A 22,967-nucleotide genomic window follows, 5' to 3' on the forward strand; every position below is an offset into this window, starting at 1 on the left:
ACTCATATTTTCATCCTTTGACCGTGCTGCCTGGGCACTGAGCATAGGAGGATGTCGCTGGCTGGCAGGGCTGTCACCCTCATCGATGGCCCAGTTTCCCAGGAGGAAATGGATGGGATGGCAGGTTTCAGCAGAGAGCACACAAGCCCTGCTATTATCTTACAAAAAGCCAGGCCAGCCTCCCACAGCTCTCCATGTGACTTAGCATCAATATTGGGGGTTTTGTAGTTACCTCAGGAAACCTACTTTTGAACAAATAATAGATTATGTTCTCTGGAACACAGGGGGAGCTAAATGCCTTTTGACAGCCAGCAGCTTATGGAAATAGCCCTTTTCCTGGCAGAAGAAGTCGGTTCCCCACGGCCGCGCCCGCTGCTTCATCCAGCTTCCCCTCGCTCTGTGCCGACGGGTGCCCGGAGTTCAGCCCCTGGCCTGACTGTTGCTGTCACTGCCCCCTTGACCACTGCAATGGTGACAGCTGTGATGTACGATTACAAAGCGGGACACAGAGCCCTCCCAGAGCAAGGCAGCTCCCCTGTGGGCCAAGCGGACCAGGCTACTGGGGGACCCTGGGCTCCTGGGACATGGGGTGCGGGTGCAGACAGGGCCTGAAGTGCTCCTAGGTGCATGCCAGTGGCAGGAAGCCCCATGTCACAGAGATGTGGCCCAAGCGCTTGACAAGAGACGGCGTCAGATGATGTAAAAGAAACCAATGGACCTAAGTGGGTGCCATCCTGAGCCCCGCTGGTGGATTAACTCAGTTCCATGCCCACGACTGCCCGAGGTGGAGCGATGGTCATGCCCACTGCACAGATGAGGAGCCGAGGCCAGGAAGGGTTTTGCCAGATGCCTGGGCTGGGGCCAGGGCTCAGGACCACCCACTGAACTGCCTGCTCGGCCCACCCTGGCAAGTGTGTGCAAGGGCCCGGTGGTGCCGACGAGGAGGGCCATGGGGAGGAGATGTTGTTGTCCTGAGACTCCCAGCCCCACCTGAGGGGGAAGAGGGTGGGAGAGCAAGGCTGGGAGCCACCCTTGGGGGCTGTGCATGTGCCCCCTGACATTGGAGGACACAGGCCACGCCACACCTGTGCCACCCAGGGAGTGGGAAGGAAGCACGTGGCCGTGGAGAGGCCAGCAGGTGGCAGGAAGGGCTGCAAGCCCCCAACCACGGGGTCACACGTAGGGGACCCAGCACCCCATGCAGGAGCTGGGCTGTGCCCTGCATCTGCACAGGCCGGGGCATGAACTGGGCATCAGCACCGCCCTCCCATGGGGACGAGGACCCATGCCCGCGTGGTGCAGGAGCTGTGCACTGAGCAGCCCCATGGGCAACTCCAGCCCGCAGTGCCAGGAGCAGGGCCAGGCCTTGTGGCAGGGGTGCAGGCTGGCTCCTGGCGGTCGCTCAGCTCTCGGGGATAGGTGAGGACGCGTGGAGAGGGGATAGCATGGGCATCAAGGCCGAGGCACTGGCCCCTCCCAGAATGGCCTCCAGGACCACCCTGCCTGCCCCCGGGTGCCCCGCTGTGCCTGGGGAGGGTAAGGGTCACTTCGGGTTCACGGCTCCAGGGTCGCCGTCTTGAAATTCTTACCAATTTTATCACTAAGCTTATGTTTTTCAAGCAAGATAGGATGGGCATGGAGCCCCTGCAAGAGCAAGCCACGGGCGCCCTCCGAGCCCATCGCCGCTCAGAACCTGAACAGAGCACATAAGCAAGGCTCACGGCGACCACAGGGCTGGTCGCAGCCAGGACGGGGTGAGGAGCTGCAGCCCCAGCCTCGCCTTCCCTTCAAGCCGAGCAGCTTCCAGTGGGAGGAAACGCCAGCGACCGGGCCCCCGTCCTTCCTCCTCAGGCGGTCCTGTGGAAGGTGCGGTGCTGATGGAACGTGGTGACTGGGAGGTGGCATAAAAGCAGCCACTGTGCTGGTTTTGTGGGACCTCTCCTCCTTTCTGGGGGTCCCTGAGGACAGGTGCATGTGCGAACTGTGAAACAGAAACTGAGATTTCACCTTCCGGATGAGTTCCATGCTTTCTTTTTTGCATTTAAAACCGGACAATGTCACATTGGCAAAAATCTAGAGTTTTCTGCCGTCTTAGCTGGAAATGAGCTGCAAGTTTTTCTCAAGATGTAGTGTGTAATCCGTCAGAGCAAAACACGGAGAGCCCTTAGCAGAAGCCCACTTCAATGTATTTTCTTCATATCCCTGAAGTTCCTTAAAAATAGGTGACGATGTATTGGGAAGAGGAGAACTGAGAAGTTCCCTTGCAGGTTTTGTATCAGTGACATGTAAATGAGCAATTCACAGATGAGCGCGGGCACAGCTCTGTGTGCTGCGTACATACGGGCCGGGCTATGATGTCTCACACTGGATGATATTCCACCTTCGGAATTTTAGTGTTTGAATACAGAAAATGGGTTTAATAACTCACTGTGGTTTTGATTTATCTTATATTCATCATTTCTTAAAACTCATTTCTTATAAAATTTAAAGTAAAAAAAATAAAACTAGACAATATATGAATGGCAGATCCATGCTAATGATTCTAATTTTCAGAATTTCTTTACTTAGAATGACATAAAATAGCAACTAAAAAATAAGTTGAGAAACTGTGGAAAAAGAAAAAGCTAGGCCGGGCACGGTGGCTCATGCCTGTAATCCCAGCACTTTGAGAGGCCAAGGCGGGCAGATCACCTGAGGTCAGGAGTTCAAGACCAGCCTGGCCAACATGGCGAAACCCCGTTTCTACTAAAAATACTAAAATTAGCTGGGCTTGGTGGCTCATGCCTGTAGTCCCAGCTACCTGGGAGGCTGAGGCAGGAGAATCGCTTGAACCCAGGAGGGAGAAGTTGCGGTGAGCTGAGATGGTGACATTGCAGTCCAGCCTGGGCGACAGAGCAAGACTCTGATAAAAAAGAAGAAGTTGTATATTTTACTACCTTGCACAGCACTTTCCCCTGCTTTTTAATGAGGCACTCCACATTTTCACTTTGCACAGTGCCCTGAGTGGGCCAGATGGAGGGACCCTTCTTCTGGGGTCTCACCCTCATGTGGCTGCTGGTCCACACGGGCCCTGACAGTGGCTCTCGGGGTGATCACAGCCTGAGGCTCCTCCTTTCTCAGGCCCTGGTCACTCAAAGGATTCCCGGCGGGGTCCCTCCAGTGAACACCCAGCTCCTGCTTCAGAGCATGAGGGGTGTGAGTTTTCCAAAGGTACCAGCTTTGGACAGATGGGGTGAGATGGTGGCCAAGGGGTCCCTGCAGGGGCCCCTCATGGTCCTGGGGACACCCTGACTCTTCTGGCCGGGTGGAGCACAGCCCCAGCTACCTTTGCACTCTCCAAGGTCCCAGGGGCACCCAGGCTACTGAGTGTCCCAGACATCCACACGCAGGGATTGGGGGACCAGAAGCTGGGGAGCCCTAGGGGTTTTGAGGGCAGAGGGCAGGAGGAGGGTGTGGTTAATGGTGTCCAATGCAGGTGCTAAGCCACAGGAGGAGTGGGCTGTGGCGTGGACGATGCAGGTAGCTGTCAGCATCAATGAGATGTGCAGTGGGCTCATTGGGGGGTGGGGTTTTTTAAGAAAAAAGCCTCGGGGTGTGGCTGCTGGTGGGTCGCCCTGTCAGAGAAGAGAAAGCTGGAGAGGACACAGGGCTGGGGTGGAGGGCAGGTCTGCGGGTTCCAGGGGGCACACTGGAGGGGACACTCAGGGGCTGGAGGCTGTCTTGGGTTGGGACTGAGGCTGGTGTGGGGTCTTCTGCAGGCTGGGACTCATGGTGGGGCTGGGTTCAGGGGTGGGAAGTTGGAGGGGGATGCTGGGAATATCTGCTGTGACAGTAGAAAATGTACATTCAGGATTAGCCTAGTGGCTCACGCCTGTAATCCCAGCACTTTGGGAGGCCGAGATGGGTGGATCACTTGAGGCCAGGAGTTTGAGACCAGCCTGGCCAACATGGTGATACCCCGTCTCTACTAAAAAATAATAAAATCAGCTGAGCATGGTGGCACGCGCCTGTAATCCCAACTACTCCGAAAGCTGAAGCAGGAGAATTGCTTGAACCTGGGCGGCAGAAGTTGTAGTGAGCTGAGATCGCACCATTGCACTCCAGCCTGTGCAACAGAGCAACACCCCGTCTCAAAAAATATATATATATTTATTCTATTTTGTCCCCAGTTCCTGACACAGTGCTTCTTGGAATGTCCTGCATGGTAGGAGGTGAGAATTCATAACAAGCCCCTTTCAACCTCTCCTGAGCTTATGCTATGAGGGGACTCTTGGTAGGCCCCTAGATAGCTTGAGGGTGGTGCTGGTTGCTAGGGGAACCAGCCGTGTGATTGAAGGCTGAAACTTTCAGCCCCATTTCTCAATCTCTGGGGCCAGGGGTTGGAGATGGAGGCCAACGAAAAATCACCAGTGATGTCACCAATTGTGTCCACATGACACCTCCATCAGAAACCCTCGCCCATGGGATTTGGAGAGCTTCAGAGTTGGTGAACACGTCCGCGTGTGGGAGGGGGCACACCCCAAGTCCATGGGGACAATGGAATGTCCTGTGCCCGGGACCCCACCAGCCCTCGCCCCAGGCACCTCCACATCTGGATGTTCCTGCGTATTCTTCACAATATCTTCTCCAAGAAAGCAGTAACGGTAAGCAAAGTGTTTCCCTGACTTCCACGAGCCATCCCAGCAAATTACTGAATTTAAGGAGGGGATGGTGGGCCCATTTGCAGCCACGTTGGACAGACATGTGGGTGGCCTGGGGACACGATGCTTGTGACTGGCTGAGTGGGGGCAGCCTCACGGGCAAAGCTTTCAACCTTCCGGATCTGCGCTAGCGCCGGGCAGTGTTGGAGCTGAATTAAATTGCAGGACACTCGGGTGGTGTCTGCAGAGACCCGGAGAATTGGCTGGTGTGCAAAACCCACACGCTTGTTGTCAGCCGTGTCGTGAATCGAGGAACAGCTTTCCTTTATCCACAAAAAAAGCGAGTTTTCATTCCCTATTCTTAAGTGCGTGGCTCCAGCTTTTGCAATAATTCTAGTCCTTATGGTGAGGAGGGTAATGTGAGCGAGGCTGAGAAAGCTCCGGAGGAGTCCACACGGCCATCCTCTTTCTAGTTCAGCAACAAGAGCCAAAATCAGGTTTCCACGGAAAGTGACTGGCGTTGGCTCTCCATAGGGAAATGAAAGTAAAAGAAGCAGTTTGGCCAGGCGCAGTGGCTCACACCTGTAATCCCAGCACTTCGGGAGGCTGAGGAGGGCGAATCACCTGAAGTCAGGAGTTTGAGACCAGCCTGGTCAACACGGGGGAAACCCTGTCTCTACTAAAAATACAAAAATTAGCCAGGCATGGTGGCGGGTGCCTGTAGTCCCAGCTACTCGGAAGGCTGAGGCAGGAGAGTCACTGGAACTGTGGAGGTGGAGGTTGCAAGTGAGCCGAGATCACGCCACTGCACTCCAGCCTGGGCGACAGAGCAAGACTCTGTCTCAAAAGAAAAAAAAAGCAGCAGTTTGGGCCATGCAGTGAGCGCTCTGTGGACCAGTGGACTCATCTGCTGGGGTCCAGGCAGCCTGGGCTGCTCCTGGTTCTTCCCTCCTCCCTGCATGCACGGCCCTGCACTGCCCTCCCTGGGGCTGCTGTGGGAGTTCTCGGGGCTCTCGGTGGTTGTCCCGCTGGCTGGGAAGGGCTGTGGTGTGTTGGGTGCTGCCTACCCTGAAGTACACGAATTAGGGTTGTGCTGTGTTGGGTGCTGCCCTCCCCAGGGGCTGCTGTGGTGTGGTGCTGGGTGCTGGCTGCCCTCAAGTACATGAATTAAAAGTTGCTTCTCCTCTTGCCAGATGCAGGGAGGAGGCTGAGCAAAGCCCTAGCTCATTTACGTAGAGACAGACACACAGAATTTTTGCAGGAATTTAATGCACTCTGATTTTTCCGGAGATCTAACAATAGCGCACATCAAAGTGGGTGGCACTGGGCTCTGTTCAGAACATTCCAGCAACTGGTCACTGCAGCAGCGCACTCACATGGCGGTGGGCGCTCGGGCTGACCTCACCTTCTGGAAGGTGCACCTGTGTGCGCAGGCATCCGAGTCCATGTCACGTGCTGGCACGGCAATCGCCATCCTTTCACAACAGGTCACGAAGCCGACTGATTTTGAATGGCTGTGTGGGTAATACTGCCCATGACCTTCATTCCAGAGAGCAACAGGCATCAGGAAACGTCTGTCACAACAGGCAGGGCTGGAGCTTGACACGGTTGAGAATCCCTGATGCTCAACCCGTATTTTCTGGCTACCAGTTGAAAGAAAGGGTGAGAGGATGCTTGGCTCCGAGCAAGTGGCTGAGAAACGCAGCCATAACATTCAGCTCCTTCTCACCAAATTCTTTACCCCAAAGAACCCTGGGAGGAAGACACATTTGCTAGGAGCTGGGTACCTGAAATCAAGGTAAGGAAAGGATGCCAGGTTCTCTCCTCCAAATGGCGCTCTGGGCGTCTCCCCTACAATCAGAGAGGAACGAAACTTACACGAACCTTAAACTTCTGTTAGAGGTAAAATAGAATAATAATAATAAATCCCAGTTCAGTGAATTCAGGTTAACCGCAAAGCTCATCGGTTTGGAGAGACGAGCTCTGACCTTTGTGAAATTTTGTGCACAAACAACCTGGAACACTGCTGTGAGAGAGAGGGCTGTGTCCTGGCCAGTGTCGGCCCCACCTGCAGGAAGTGCTTATCTGTTTCATCGGTGAGGTTTGCTGGCTGGGCTTGGGGAATAATGGGTTCCCACTTTCTCAATTGTCTCCAGGGTTTGGAACACAGGGCTCTGCGCCTCTTTCTTCACTTGCTGTTCCACAGAGAAGGTGACCCGAGCTGCACAGTCCAAACCGAAGGACACTTAGTCCCCAACTGGATGAAACAGGGAAGAAGCGAAAGCATCTTCATCTATCGGTCTCAGTATTTGAAATTTTGCTTTCTAGATAGGCAGACCAACGGAATAGAAGATAAAGTCTACAAATAGAACCAAATATATGTAGAGATTAGGTATACAATGAGGTGGAAAAAGACGGACTTTTGACAATAAGTTTTTGGGACAGTTGGATAGCCACATAGAAAATGATACAACTGGCCAGGCACAGTGGCTCACACCTGTAATCCCAGCACTTTGGGAGGCCGAGGAGGGCAGATCACGAGGTCAAGAATTCGAGACCAGCCTGGTCAATGTGGCGAAACCCATACATCTACTAAAAATACAAAAGTGGCCAGGCGTGGTGGCTCATGCCTGTAATCCCAGCACTTTGGGAGCTGAGGTGGGCAGATCACGAGGCCAGGAGTTTGAGACCATCCTGGCCAACACAGTGAAACCCCATTTCTACTAAAAATACAAAAATTAGCCGGGTGTGGTGGCGGGTGCCTGCAATCCTAGCTACTTGGGAGGCTGAGGCAGGAGAATTGCTTGAACCTGGGAAGCGGAGGTTGCAGTGAGCTGAGATCGTGCCACTGCACTCCAGCCTGAGTGACAGAGCAAGACTATCTCGAAAAAAAATAAAAGAAAACTAAAAGATACAACTTAACCTTTAGCTTATTTTCCACACCAGAATAATCCCCAAAGACCAGAGATCTTCATGCGAGAAGGAAGTAAGGTCTGGCTGAAAACACAGCTGCAGGATGTCACAGGAGAGGAAAAGGCTTTCTAACCATATCTTATAATTTAGAAGAACAAATACAAGATTGCCAAAATTTATCACTTAAAATAATGTATACTCAGGTCTGGCACGGTGGCTCACACCTATAATCCCAGCATTTTGGGAGGCCGGGGCAGGAGGATCACCTGAGGTCAGCAGATTGAGACCAGCCTGGCCAACATTGTGAAACCGTATCTCTACTAAAAATACAAAAATTAGCCAGGCCTGGTGGCACACGCCTGTAACCCCAGCTACTAGCGAGGCTGAGGCAGGAGAATTGCATGAATCCGGGAGGTGGAGGTTGCAGTAAGCCGAGATCGCATCACTGCACTCCAGGAGCATCTCAAATATGTGTGTGTGTGTGTGCGCGCGTGTGTGTGTGTGTGTGTGTGTATACTCAATCAAAATCCTAGCAAGTTATTTTGTGGCTATTGAGAAATGATTCTGAAGTTTACATAGAGAGAGGAAAGACCCAGCACAACCAACACAAAATTGAAGAACAAAGTCACGGGACTCATGCTGCCCGGCTCCTAGGCTCCTGATGAAGCTGCACTAATCAAAGCAGGGTGGTGAATGAAAGATGGAGGAGGGGGCAGGTAGGGGGTGGATAAGGGGGCGGGTAGGGGGCGGATAAGGGGGCAGGTGGGGCGGATAAGCGGGGGGTGGGTAGGGGGCGGGTAAGGGGGCAGAGTGCAGAACCCAGAAACAGACCCATGTGGATGCAGTCAGAGGAGCAAAGCCAATTCCATGGGACAAAGAGTCTTTTCAACAAATGGTGCTGGGACAACAGGACACCCATGTGCAGGAAAGCAAATCCAGACACAGACTTCCCACCCTTCACAAAAACGAACTCAAAATGGATCAGACCTCAATGTAAAACACAAAACTATAACGCTCCTAGAAGATAACATAGAATAAAACCCAGATGGCCTTGGGCATGAGATGACGTTTTAGATTCAACATTCAACATGCCTGTTGGATCTAAAAGGCATGATCCATGAGAGAAATAATGGATAAGTTGGACTTCATTAATGTGAGAAACTTCTGCTCTGCAAGAGACTCTGTCAAGAGAAGACAAGCCACAGACTGGGAGAAAATACTTGCAAAAGACTTATCTGATAGAGGACAGTACTGAAAATATGCAAAAAACTCTTAAAACTCAACAATAACAAATGGACAATAGATTTTAAAAGTGAGCAAAATACTGGAACGTAAATCTCACCGAAGAAGTTCTGCACATGGCAATACGTGTGTGAGAATGTTCAGCGTCACGCATCATCGGAGAAATGCAAATTACACCAACACTGAGACACCACACACACCTACTAGCATGGCCAAAACCCAGGGACTGGCAACATCAAATGCTGACAAGGATGCGGAACAGCAGGAACTCTTGTTCATCGCTGGTGGGAATGCAAAATGGGGCCGCCGCTGTGGAAGACAGTTTGGCAGTTTCTCACAAAACTAGACATGATCTCACCGTACGGTCCAGTAATCATATTCCTCGGTATACACCCAAAGGGACTGAAAACTTCTGTCCGCACAAAACCTGTACATGGGTGTTTATAGCAGTTTTATTCATAAGTTTCAAAACCTGGAAGCAACCGAGATGCCCTTCAGTAGGTGAATGGGTAAGCAAGCTGTGGCACATCCAGACAGTGGACTCAGCACTAAAAGGAAATGAGCTCCCAAACTATGAAAAGGCAGGGAAAGAACTTAAATACTTATCACTGAGTGAAAGTGGCCAATGTGAAAAGGCTACACCCTGTGGGGTTCCAACTCTAGGACATTTGGGAAACGGCAAAACCATGGAGATGTTAAATAGATCAGTGGTTGTCAGAGGCTGGGGGGAGGGAAGGTTGAACAAGAGGAGCATAGAGGATTTTTAGGGCAGTGAAACTCCTCTATGTGATGCTATAATTGTAGACACGTGCCGTTAGATATTTGTCCAAACCCTTAGAGAGTACAGCACCGAGACTGAGCCTGAATGTAGGCTTCAGGCGCTGGGTGATGACGACAGGGGTCAGTGCAGGAGAATCAGCTGTAACACATGCACCTCTGGTGGGGAAGTTCATCTTGGGGAGGCTGTAGTTGGGGAGGGGGGCTATAGGAAATCTCTGTACCTTCGTCTTAATTTTACTGTGAACCTAAAACTGCTCTAAAAAATAAAACATTAAAAATGAAATATACAGGCTGGGCACAGTGGCTCACGCCTGTTAATACCAGCACTTTGGGAGGCCAAGGAGGGTGGATCACCTGAGGTGGGAGTTCAAGACCAGCCTGGCCAACATGGTGAAACCCCGTCTCTACTAAAAATATAAAAATTAGCTGGGCGTGGTGGCGCATGCCTGTAATCCCAGCTACTCGGGAGGCTGAGGCAGGAGAATTGTTTGAACCCAAGAGGCAGAAGTTGTGGTGAGCCAAGATGGTGCCATTGCACTCCAGCCTGGGCAACAAGAGCGAAACTCCGTCTCAAAAAAAAAAACCAAAAAACAAAAAAAACAAAACAAAACAAAAAACCAAAAAATACACATTTTTGCATGAACAAAAGCCCATGAAGAAAATCAAAGGTGTAGCACATGGGGAAATGAAAGCCATAGCACATGAGAAAATGCTTCCAACTTATCGCACAAAGGATCAAGCTCTGCAAACTATAACAAGCTCCTAAAAATCAAGGCAAAAACCCAATTATCTGTTGGAAAAATGGGCAGAAAAAGAAAGGCAATGGGCAGAAAAAGAAAGGCAATGGGCTCTCCCCTGTGAAGACACACTCAGCCTCACTTACAGTAAAAGTGCACCACACCCCAGGTCCTCTGCACGCCATTTCCCACCCATCAGATAGTCCGAGAGGCAGACTTCCAACAGCGCCTCTGCATCCCCAAGGAGATGGGCGGCTCATGGGGCACTGCTGCCTGGGAGGGGAGGTGGCTTTTGTTGGAGGGCCTCCCACTTACCCAGCTACAGCAACAAATGTGACATCTGTCCCTGAGATGGCCAGACACGCAGCAAGTGCTCCATGCTGTTCACTGTGGCATCACATGTAGTGGCAAAGGTTTGGAAACACCCAAATATCAAAGAGCAGAAGGTTTAATAAATAACTGAGACACACCCACAAAATGCATCTGTAAAGAAGAATAAAAAAGGTATCTCTGTGCTGATAGGCAGTTATCTTCCAGAGGTGGCGTTCTAAGTGCAAGGGAGGCGGGAGAGCGGTGGGGCTTATTTCTTGGTCACAGCCTTGCTGACCAAAGCCGGACCCGGTCCAGATGAGGTGAAGTGGAGAAGCTGGCAAAGACCAGCAGATGGTAAGAGGGCAAAACCTGGCTGCCCTTGTTGGTCACTAGCCTAAGACATGCCTACCAGTGCCATGACAGTTTACAAATGCCATGACAGTTTACGGAAATTACCACTGCTTTTTATGGCAATGACCTGGAAGTTATCACCCCTTTCCTAGAAAGTTCTATATAACCTGCCCCTTAATTTGCATTGACCTGTCCCTTAAGTTGCACGTAATTGAAAGCGGGTAGAAGTGGGTATAAATACAGTTGCCAACAACCCATATGCTGTGGACTCTGGGCACACTGCCTATGAGTCAGCCCCACTCTGCAAGGAACAGTGCTGGTCAATAAAAGTTTGCTGCCTAACACTGCCGGATTGCCCTTGAATTCTTTCCTGGGCAAAGCCAAGAAATCTCCTGGGCTAAGCCCCAGTTTTGGCCTGCATCACCTGGCAGCCATGAAGATGAAACAGTGGGGATGGCAGTGGTGGGTGGAGGGGTGGTGAGACAGCAGAGAGGTGATGGTCCACAGTGGGTAGGACAACTGCCATCTCTCAAAAGAAGTGGTGAGGTGGCAATTGACAAGAAGGCTGGACGGTGGAGAGGTAGCAAGACGGCAACCAGCCGTCTGGTGACTGGCTACACAGTGACTGGTGAGATGGGAAGAAGCAGCAATCAGAGATGGCGATTGGCTCTGCAGCGATCAAAGAAAATCAAAGTCATAGAGCGGCTAGTGCAGCGGAGCTGTAACCTCAGCCAAAGGCTCTCTTCAGAGCCGTCATCTTTCCTGGTAGGCAGCAGAGCCAAGTGGTTGGGGGAGTGGCCACAGTGCCACCACCACGCATGGGACCCCTGCCCTGGCTGGCAGGTCACCGGTCCATGTGCCAGTCTCCTCACAGCAGCTGAGCCTGCCCAAGCTGGGGAAACCCTGGGAGGAGACCTTTACCTAGGGATTAAGGTGGAGAATGATCAGCACCATTTTGGCCCCTGTGGTTGGGTGAGTGTCCTCCCCTCTGCCCACCCCTGCCAATATGAGCCAGGAAATTAGGCCTCTGGCTAGATGGTCAGTTTGAAGTCCCCGTAGCACACCTGACCAGCCACATCCTTGTCATTCCTTCTCTCGATCCTTTCTCCTCTAATGCCATTTCATTGCCTGTTGGCCATTTTAATTTCTGCTTTGAAATGTACGTTTCATCTGCAATTTTTGCTTTGGCTCCCTGCTAACTCTACTTGGGCAGTTACTTAAGGAAGGACACTTGGTTGTGGGAGGTCCCCTGTTGTGCTGACCCTAGGACAGCAGGGTCATGTTGTTCTGTGGCCCCAGCTTGGCCTTTGGGGTTCACTGTGGGCCACCAGCTAGATGCTCTGGGGTTTTCGACATTGGTGTGGGGACCCTTGTTGGCTGATACTCGACTGCTCTGGGTTTTTGGCATTTGGGATTGTAGGCCACCCCCAGACGCTCCAGAGTTTTTGGCACTGGTATTCCCTCTAGGATTGTGGCGTTAGAGGCCACCCTAGGGGAATCTTGGCCTTGCCTTTTCTGGTTTCGTACCGAAAGTTATTTTCTGAAACAGCATTTTCTTATTGTCACTTTATCTACACTTTTCCTTCTACGCTTTGCTTAGTAAAAATAGTTGTTTTGTCATATTTTGTTTGCCAGCACTTTTTTAATGACTTGCTACCTTGACTTATTCCTTCTCTGCAGGACATGGGAATCTGAAAGGGGATGACAGCAAAGGTCCAGCTGCTTCTGCTCTTGCTAGACTTAGAAAAATGCCTGTGCCCAGTAGAAATCCTTGCTAGACGTAAGGATGATGATGAGCATCCCAGAACACTTGCAGCTGGAGTGTCTTTTATGCTGGCCAGTGTTTGATGTTCTTCAGGGTACTAGTTCTAGCCCAAGAACAATTGGCATAAAGCTGTGGTTAGACCTGCAGATTTCTGAGCACTGGTCGTGGTAAGAGCCTGGTGGTGTAGACATTAAGGTTGCTTGGTTTCGATGTTCTGGAATTGCATCTGTTTTCAGGCCCGGTGACGGTACGGCTCATGAACGTAAAACGTCTTCTGACGAAATCAGTATATGAATTGATATTTCTATAGGGAAGACTACTCAATTGTCAACTTCATCATAGCTTATAGTAATCAATAGCTTTCCCGGCTTTAGATCTGTTGAGTATGGAAGAGTCAAAATTTAAGTCTTCATAATCTGCATATTCATAGCATCAGTATCATCAGTGTCCTGTAGTTTTGATGGTAAGCGAAGGGTTGTTAATTTCATCTTTGATGTATAGAATATGTAATAGATGAAATTCGGCTTAAAGAAATTCATTTTCTATTGCAAGACCATTTGGGTCCAACACAAAAATTAGAAAATCAAGAGAACTGGTCTAAACATGGTTCTACACATTATAATGCTATTTCACAATTGGACTTATTCCATAAAAAAGAAGAAAAGTGGGAGGAGGTCCCGTATGTACAGGCTTTTATGGCCCTTTACTGGCTCATGTTACTTCCAGGCACCAGGAAGGCACATCTAAGGGAACCCCTCATAGCTGCTCCCCCTAGAAGGCCTGTGCCCTCCTTGGACCCTCCTCAGTTCCCCAATTCTGAGGGGGTGTTCAGCCAGCGCAGGATTCCACCCAGGGCCATCAGGCCCCCACCCCCCTTATCCAACTAGCCCCAGCCTATACCCCCAACTGCCAAGAAAGCAGGTCCAACGGGCACCCCCAGAAGCAGGGCCCCATATCAGCCCTTCAAGTCAAACTTGTGTCTGTGGCAAGAGGCAGCTGACGGAAATGGGGGCACTTGGAGTGCAGGTGCCATTTTCTATGTCTGACTTGGCTTCATGCAAGGAGGCACGTGGCCGGTTTTCAGATAATCCGGGGTTTTATGGAAGAATCAAGTCTACCATGCTCTTTCACTTGTCATGACTTACAAGCATTGTTGCTCACTTGCTGTGACATGAGGGAGAGGCAGAGGGAGACGTGTGAGATTAAGCCAGTCAGTTATGACAAGGTTAGAGAAATAACTCATGGAAGGATGAAAATCACACTGTTTCAAGGTAGTTTGGTTGAGGTACTCGGGAAACGTATTGACGCAGGCCCCAACTCCCCAGAAGGGCAAGGTCTCCTGGGTATACATTTTATCCCTGAACCTGCCTCCGACATGAAGAGGAAGCTACAGAAAGCAGAAACGGGACCTGAAACCCCTATGAGCCAACTCCTAAACATGCCCTTTAAAGTTTGCAACAATACGAACAGGGCAAGAGGTAGAATTAAAAGCAAGATAAATAGCCAAAATGTACAATTGCTAACAGTTGCTGTCAGTGCCTTGCCCCTCAGCCTTACCCATCCTGAGAGTGTGTTTTAAGATTGGCATCTGACATGCCCAGACAAGAGCTCTTGACTTGCTGGCCCCTGGGTCAGAATCAGTGTGCCTACCATAAGCAAAAGGGCCATTGGCAATGAGAATGTCCTAACCCTCCCTGGTGAGAAAGATAAAAGCTGCCTGTCAATACTAGAGTTAACCTTCTGCTAGTCCCAATGAGGTGTTTTTTGTTTTTTGAGATTGTCTCGCTCCATCACCCAGGCTGGAGTGCAGTGGTGCAATCTTGGCTCGCTGCAACCTCCATCTCCTGGGTTCAAGCGATTCTCCTGCCTCAGCCTTCCAAGTAGCTGGGACTACAGGTGTGCGCCACCACGCCTGGCTAATATTTTGTATTTTTAGTAGAGACAGGGTTTCACCATATTAGCAAGGATGGTCTCTATCTCCTGACCCCAATGAGGTGTTCTGCTCAAGTAAGTGTACTGGGGGCCTCAGACCCTTGGCCTGGTGGATGGCTTCCTGCAGGCTGACAAGTGGCCACTTCAACATTTTTCTTTGGTGTCTCCGCTGCTGGGTGAGCTCTCTGGTGGCTCAGGGACTGCAAGGTTTCACACTGAGCCATATAATTCACCACCACCCCCCTTTCCTACAGAATCTTTCTCCACTTCCCCTTGTCTTTCATACTTATCAGGGCAAATAAAATTTGGTCAGGTAAACAGGTCCCAATTTTATAAATAATTTGGGTCCAGCTGTCTTGTACAGGTCACTTCATTTGCATGATATGTGTTGTGACTAGCATGCTATCACATTGGCTTATAAATAAGAGTGCTCATAAATTAAACAAATAAGTCTAAACATGTTAGTTTGAAGGGAATGTTGTGTCTTCTAAAATTTAATTTTTACCTAGGTAAACCAGATGTTCATAGGTTTTGGAATGGTTAAAATGGCTTTAGGTAGTGAGTTTTGTATGGCTTAAAAATCTTGAAACTGTAGAATGCTTCTCATCTACAGGATGCTAATGTCTGTTGGGCAGTTGAAGATTTCTTGCTTCCTACCTGTATATAAAATGTGCTAGGGAAGATACATTATTGGGAAAAGAATAACTTTTGTCCAGAAAGTATTAAATGAGGGGCTCAAAATATGAGGGAACCAGTACGAGTAGAAAAGAGAGAAGTGGGGAGTTATACATACATACATTTTTTTTTTCAGGAGGGGTATGAAGACTGACTTACAGGTGCCCGCCACCATGCCTGGCCAATTTTTGTATTTTTAGTGGAGACGGGGTTTCACCATGTTGGCCAGGCTGGTCTCAAACTCCTGACCTCAGGTGATCCACCCACCCCGGCCTCCCAAAGTGTTGGGATTACAGGCGTGAGCCACTGCGCCCGGCCAAGAAAGACTGACTTTGTATGAGAAAGGATCTCTGGTCCCAGAATAAAGAGACTGGTTGTGAGGGAGGTGTAGGACAGGTCAGAGAGTCCAGGCATGTCATGGGTGGTCTGTGTGGGTTGTAATGGGGTTTGTGAAGGGGAACTTCTGAGAGTAGTTTTGTGTGCAATTAAGCCTGCTGTGATTAAAGAAATTTTTTTTTTTTTTTTTGGAGACAGAGTCTCACTCTGTCACCCAGGCTGCAGTGCAGTGGCATGATCTAGGCTCACTGCAACCTCTGCCTCCCGGGTTCAAGTGATTCTCCTGCCTCAGCCTCCTGAGTAGCTGGGACTACAGGTGCCCACCACCACGCCTGGCTAATTTTTGTATTTTTAGTGGAGACAGGGTTGCACCATATTGGCCAGGCTGGTCTCGAACTCCTGGCCTTGTGATCTGCCCGCCTTGGCCTCCTAAAAGTGCTAGGATTACAGGCATGAGCCACTGCACCCTGCTGATTAAAGAAAAATGGTTTGTGGTAGACTTTCTAGGGAATGATCTATGTATTGGAACTGGGTTTTCTTAAGGTATTGATTTATTAAGTTATGAGAATTTTTGCTTTTAATGCTATAACCAGCTTCTTCTAAAACTTCTTTGGGCTGAGTGCGGTGGCTCACGCCTGTAATCCCAGCACTTTGGGAGGCCAAGGCAGGTGGATCACTTGAGCCTAGGAGTTCACAACCAGCCTGGGCAACATGGCAAAAACCCATCTCTACAAAAAAAAAACAACAAAAAAAAACACCACACACCACTTTTTAAAAAAAATGTAGTGTGGGTGTGGCGCACATCTGCAGTCCCAGCCACTTGGGAGGCTGAGGTGAGAAGATCACTTGAGACCAGGAAGTCAAGGCTGCAGTGAGCTGTGATCACACCACTGCACTCCAGCCTGGGCGAGAGTGCGAAACCCTGTCCCACAAAACAAACAAAAACTGCTTGGGTTGGTGTCCCAGAGGTTCAGCTGTTGTGTCCCACTGCTGTTAAACTGCAGGAAGTCACTCGCTGGGTACACCTGTCCAGGGTTAAACCTGCGTCTTCTGCGTCCCTGCAGGCATGAGGGGAGGACAGCATGCCCTTCACCTGTGAGCCCCTGGAAGGTGTAAAGCTGTTGTTTTGCAAATACACAAATCACATGGCGAGGAGCACGTGCAGTCATCAGCCATACCGATTCTTCTTGCCTGGTTTTGACCTTTCTCAGGGCCTTTAATGACATCTCATCATTACTAACTTTTGGCTCCCTTATTGGATTTTGGGTTTCTTCCCACCCAACCTTCATTTCCCCCATGATCAGACCAACGGTAAAGCAGCCTCATCTTCCTTTGATGCAGGAAAGATGAGCCCTAAAATTGGGGTTTAGCCAGGAGGGTTCTTGGCTTCACCCAGGAACGAGTTACAGGGCAAGCTGGCGGTGTTAGTTGCTCCCTGTGGAGCCGGGCTGACTCACAGGCAGTGTGCCCAGAGTCCACGGCATATGGGCTGTTGGCAACCATGTGGGCTGTAGGAAAGGCAAAGGACCTTTCCCAGGACCTTTAATAACTATCTTATCATTACTAACTTTTGGTTCCTAGCAAAGCTCGAGTCCTGTAGATTGCAACAATTCCACACAAAGACAACACTGGTACAGGCTTCAACCCATCCTATCCTCTGACCTGGAGAATGAAAGTGTCTGGCCTCTGGGGCCCTTAGATCAGAGATTTTCCCTCCTCTAACCTTACACAGGACCTATGCCCATGAACACAGCAGGAAGCAATCCCAGAAGACAGACCCTGCCCTTCTGCACCCCCTTAAGATTAAGGGGAAGGATCTCATCTCTGAAGAGAGGGGATGAGGTAGGAAGGTGGCAGGACTTGTTTTCTGGTCACTGACCCACTGACCAAAACAGGATCTGGGCTGGATGGGATGAAGTGGAGACAGGAATCAGGGGACGGCGAGGAGGGTGATCCCTGGCTGCCATCATTGCTCATTGGCATAAGACCCTCCCACCAGGGCCATGATGGTTTGCAAATGCCATGGCAATGACCTGGAAGTTACCACCTTTTTTCATTGCAACGACCCAGAAGTTGTCACTTCTTTTCTAGACAATTCTAAATAACCCACCCCTCAATTTGCATTGATCTCTACTTAATCTGCATGTAAAAGAAGTGGGTATAAATACAGTTGCCAACAGCCCATACACTGTGGACTCTGGGCACACTGCCTGTGAGTCAACCCCGCTCCACAAGGAGCAGCTAACACCTCCAGCTTGCCCTCAAACTCTTTCCTGGGTGAAGTCAAGAACCCTCCCGGCAAAACCCCAATTTTAGGGTTCATCTTTCCTGCATTAAAGGACAAAGGGGCAGAAAGGGTGAGGCTGCCTTACCGTTGGTCTGATCATGGGGGAAATGAAGGTTGGGTGGGAAGGAACGTAAAATCTAATAAAGCAGTTATCTGTACAGCAGCTAGACCTCTCCGAAGGAATCCTGCTTTGTGGTTTTGGCTTCCGAGGGTGTAAGTCTTCCACGTCTGCAGAATGCCGTCCTCGCCATCGAAAGGAAGAAGGTGAACTCTAAAGTGGAGACGTGAGCTGGATGGTGATGTTGGTCTCCTGTGGCTGCCATAACAAGGTGCTGCACACCACATGGCTCAGGACAACAGGCACCTGCCGTCTCAGAGGCCACAGTGTGACAGTGACGTGCAGGCAGAGTGGGCTCCTTCCACCCCCTTCTCCCACACAGTGGCTGCTGGTGGCCCTGGGTGTGCCCTGGCTGTTGGCTGCATCCCTCCAGTCTGCTCCCTCTCAGCGTGGGGCTCTTCCTCTGTGCTGGTCTGTCTGATGTCTTCTCATAAGACATCAGCTACAGGATTTAGGGCCCGCCCTAATCCAGAATGACTTCACTTTAACTCATTGCATCTGCAAAGAGCCTGTTTCCAAACAAGTTCACATTCTGAAGTTGTGGGCGGACATGTGTTTGGAGGGCACCGTTTGCCACAGGACAACTACGTATCACAGTGCTGGTGATGCAACCACACAAGTGAAATTATTTCAAGTAACTGTCTCAAAACAAAACAAAAAAAGTGTCTCGCTCTGTTGCCCAGGCTGGAGTGCAGTGACGTGGTCTCGGCTCACTGCAACCTCCACCTCCCGGGTTCCAGCAATTCTGTTTCAGCCTCCTGAGTAGCTGGGATACCATGCTGGAATAATTTCTGCATTTTTAGTAGAGATGGGGTTTCACCACGTTGGTCAGGCTGGTCTTCAACTCCTGACCTCAGGTGACCCGCCCGCCTTGGCCTCCCGAAGTGCTGGGATTACAAGCGTGAGTCACCGCGCCCAGCCTTCAGGTGACTTGTGAGCACAGCACTCACACTGTTTATACTTAGAAGGATATTCTCTGAGGATAAAAGATCATCTTGTTTTCATTTTTAATTTCTAAATAGTCACTTTGAAATGATTTCAGTCATGAAAAAAGTTACCAAAAAACAAAAACAGTGCAAAGAATTCCAGCATATCCTGTAAGTAGTTTCCCTAGAAGTTATCTCACATAGAACCATGGTGCAATGTTCAAAATTAGGAAATTAACACCAACGCAATACTGTTTTTAAAAAATTATTTGAAATGCAATACTATTAACTATCTACAGGCCCCATCCCAGTGTCTTTCTGGCCCACAGCCCAGTCCAGGACCACACATTGCATTTGGTTGTCATTCTCCCTGGCTGCCTCCCAGTGGGGACAGCTTGGAGTGTGGGGCCATTGCCCAGCACACAGCTGCTTCTCATGACTGCATTTAGGACATATCCTCTGGGCAGGACCCACAGAAGCTATGCCAGGCTGACTTCAGGGCATCTCATCAGGAGACCTATGATCTGGGCCTGTTACTGGCGTGTTAAGCTCGGTTGCTGGGAGCAGGGGTATCTGCCAGGGCTCTCTGCCACAAAGTTACATTTTCCCTTTAATTATCTTGTCGGGAGATAGTTTGAGGCCAAGAAATATCCCATTTCTCATCCTAATTTTGCCTACTAATCGCAACATCCCTCGATGATTCCTGTGTTGTTTGCCAAATGGCCATTCTCTGTTACCATCGTTCCTTCTACATTAACTGCAATTCGGAGGAGACGAGCATTTCACCCTCTTCCCCCTTATTTATCTATGCATTTATGTATGGACTTGTGGGCATTTAGCCTTATGAGTTATGAACTATTACTATAATTTTCTTTTTTGAGACAGGGTCTCGCTCTGTCACCCAGACTGGAGTGCAGCAGCATGATCTCAGCTCACTGCAACCTCTGCCTCCTGGGTTCAGATGATCCTCCCACCTCAGCCTGCTGAGTAGCTGGGACCACAGGCATGCACCACCATGCCTAGCTGATTTTTTATCTCCTGTAGAGGCAAGGTTTCACACCATGTGTCCAGGCTGGTCTAGAACTCCGGGACTCAAGCCATCTACCTGCCTCAGCCTCCCAAAGTGCTGGGATCACAGGCACGTGCCACTGCACCTGGCCCATTGGTATACTTATGTATTGTTTTGCTCCGATTATCCCAGGTTTGGCTCTGGAGCCGTGTAGATTGGTCCTGCATCCTTTTGGCCCCCCCCGCTGCCCTCTGAGCGCTCTGCCTTACTGACCACCCCCCCCCCGCTGCCCTTTGGGCGCTCTACCTTACTTTGTGGGACCACTCCATGTTCACCCGGGAACCCTCCCTGCCTCAGTGCTATCTGGGGGCCCCAGTGCCTGACCTGGAGAAAGATGTTAGTGCCCGAGATCCGGCTCTGGGGGTGCCCATGGCTGTAGGGTGTCCCTGCTCCGAGGTCCCCCAGTGGACACAGCTAAAGCCTCGGTGAGAACACACGGGCCCATGCCAGGCTCACACCCGTCTACCCAGCCGTCTACCGACACTTCCGTGCTGAAACTACAAGCTCCTACTGCCGCCTCCCCTCCCAGCCTCCCATGCTCCTTACTGGTAGCTCCCTTCTCCAGCAGCGAGGCTCGTCACCCACAGCGCGGCCGCTGGAAGGTGACCTGAGCGGCCAGACAGGGCCTCCTGCTCAGAGTTTAAAGCTCTGCTGTCGCCATCCTTAAGTTCTTAATGAGTTTTGAGCAAGGGCCCTGCAATCTCATTTCGCACCAGGTCCCGCAAATTATGTATCCGGCTCTAATTACCCACAATATGCTTGCTTGCTCAAGTCTGGAGCACACACAAAGTAATCTCATAATTGCTAACCCAGGTTGCTGTGCAAAACAGCTTCACAAACTAGGGCACAGTGTCTGCACGCCATTCTTTTTGTCTTACAGCCCATGATACTGTCTTCCAAAGCATGCGGTAGGTTTTCTTTTCCCCACTCCCTTCGATGAGGTTCACCTGTTACTGCTTATATTCCATTTCGGCTTCAAGCCCCCATCCCGGTTGATTTTAATCACTTATTTACTTTGGGGGGTGTGTGGTATATTTCTGTGGTCCTGGAAGGAACACAAAAGCTGCAGCCTCCATAATAAGGTAAGCCCACCAGCGCCTGTACCTTTGAGGACCATGAAGGGAAGGGTCTGTCTCCCTGTTCCCTCCACTAACTCCCCCCATCTCTCTGGCCCCCACTTCTCCGCAAAGTGGAAACTCCCTGGGGAGGCAGAAGACCAGGGTGGCAGGACTGCAGGCAGAGAGGGATTCCTGCCGCCCCATGGCTGGGTACCGCTGGTAGGCCACGCACACACTGGGTAAGTGTGCACTAGGCACTGACGTTAAGGGCCAGGCGTTGGTCCCTCCGTCTCACCTGCGCCAACTCAGCACAGGGAGAGAGCTGAGGCTCTGACAAGGATACAGGGCAGAGAGCAGGAAACAGCAGGGCTCAGGCTAGGGGTGGGAGCCCAGCTGCTCAGGAGTTGAAGTGCAGGCCCCCTGTGGGCACCTGGCGGACAGGAAAGGAAGGAGACTAAGGAGTGTGTTGTACTTTATCTGTACCTGGCTACGTGAGATCAGACTGTCACCCAGCATTAACTAAACCTTACAGTGGAGACAGTGGGTTGTATCACTCCCGAGAAGAAACCACAGAACGCTGTAGGAGTAATGCCTGCACCGGCTTCCCCCGCACCACACGGAGCGGCTGCCTACAGCTTTGTTAGGGGCTGAATGCAACCCCGATGCAGGCACCAGCCCTCCAGAGCAGCCTCCATGGAGGAATGCGGTTCCCCACTCTGCCCACATACCTCTCCTGCAGCAGCGCTGAACACCGTCTCCGGACGTCTGGAGCTATCACCATGGGCAACACTTTCGTGGTCTTTATTTTTAGCTTCTCCTTTAGAAACTCACTTTTTGGGGTGGTTTTGTGTCCAGAAGTTGGTGGGTTCTTAGTCTCGTCTTCAAGAATGAAGCCGCAGACCCTCGCGGTACATGTTACGGTTACCTAAAAACGGTGTGTCTGGAGTTTGTTCCTTCTGGTGCGTTCGTGGTCTACACTGATTTCAGGAGTGAAACTGCAAACCTCCGCGGTGAGTGTCACAGCTCCTAAAAATGCAGCACGTCCAGAGTTCTTTGCCCCTCCCAGTGGATTTACAGTCTCGCTGGCTTCGGGAGTGAAGCTGTAGACCTTTACCGTGAGCGTTGCAGCTCACAAACGCAGCACAGACACAAACACTGAGCAGCAGTAAGATTTACTACGAAAACCAAACAAGGAAAGCTCCCAGAGGACAAAAGCAGACCCTAACAGGTTGCCACCGCTGGCTCCCGCAGCCTGCTTTTATTCCCTTATCTGACCCCACCCACATCCTGCTGACTGGTCCATTTTACGGAGAACTGATTGGTCCATTTTACAGAGAGCTGATTGGTCCATTTTACAGAGAGCTGATTGGTCCATTTGGACAGGGTGCTCATTGGTGCATTTACAAACCTTTAGCTGGCTACAGAGTGCTGATTGGTGTGTTTACAATCCTTTAGGTAGACAGAAAAGTTCTCCAAGTCACCACCGGAGCCAGAAGCCCAGCCGGCCTCACCTCTCAGTAGCACTCCCTTTAGAACTTTGCAGCATCTACCCTGGGCACTCCGGCAGCCCAGAGGGAGCTCATCCCCAGATCAAGCCCAGCAGGCGTCGGCGGGCCAGCCAAGCCTGCACCCACCCGGAACCCGCGCCGCCCGCGAGCGCTGCGCTCAGCCCCCGCTCCCGCCCGCGCCTCTCCGCCAGCAGAGGGAGCTGGCTCCAGCCTCGGCCAGCCCCAGAGAGGGGCCCCACAGCGCAGCGGCAGGCCGAAGGGCTCCTCAAGCACGGCCAGAGCCGACACGGAGGCCCAGGAAGCGCCGAGAGCCAGCGA

The 22,967-nt window shown here is 50.9% G+C and overlaps 1 long non-coding RNA gene and 1 pseudogene across 1 annotated transcript, besides 3 other annotated features; both read right to left on the minus strand.

Moving 5' to 3' along the window:
• Positions 8-563: an enhancer, noted in NCBI's record as "H3K4me1 hESC enhancer chr5:1357815-1358370 (GRCh37/hg19 assembly coordinates)". NCBI's record gives its function as "activates a minimal SCP1, AML or CMV promoter by ChIP-STARR-seq in naive and primed H9 embryonic stem cells {active_cell/tissue: H9 hESC(naive and primed)}" and the evidence as "EXISTENCE:reporter gene assay evidence [ECO:0000049][PMID:30033119]".
• Positions 564-1,119: an enhancer, noted in NCBI's record as "H3K27ac-H3K4me1 hESC enhancer chr5:1358371-1358926 (GRCh37/hg19 assembly coordinates)". NCBI's record gives its function as "activates a minimal SCP1, AML or CMV promoter by ChIP-STARR-seq in naive and primed H9 embryonic stem cells {active_cell/tissue: H9 hESC(naive and primed)}" and the evidence as "EXISTENCE:reporter gene assay evidence [ECO:0000049][PMID:30033119]".
• Positions 1,120-1,675: an enhancer, noted in NCBI's record as "H3K27ac-H3K4me1 hESC enhancer chr5:1358927-1359482 (GRCh37/hg19 assembly coordinates)". NCBI's record gives its function as "activates a minimal SCP1, AML or CMV promoter by ChIP-STARR-seq in naive and primed H9 embryonic stem cells {active_cell/tissue: H9 hESC(naive and primed)}" and the evidence as "EXISTENCE:reporter gene assay evidence [ECO:0000049][PMID:30033119]".
• On the minus strand, positions 5,890-22,381 carry LINC01511 (long intergenic non-protein coding RNA 1511). Its single transcript, NR_125810.1, has 2 exons — positions 21,870-22,381; positions 5,890-6,999 (listed from the first exon to the last, which is right to left on the minus strand). It is a non-coding gene; the product is annotated as a long intergenic non-protein coding RNA 1511 (long non-coding RNA).
• On the minus strand, positions 12,851-13,253 carry MTCO2P32 (MT-CO2 pseudogene 32; annotated as a pseudogene).
• Positions 22,382-22,967: the final 586 nt, after the last annotated feature.

This window comes from Homo sapiens, chromosome 5 (assembly GCF_000001405.40).
Source record: "Homo sapiens chromosome 5, GRCh38.p14 Primary Assembly".
NCBI lineage: Eukaryota > Metazoa > Chordata > Mammalia > Primates > Hominidae > Homo > Homo sapiens.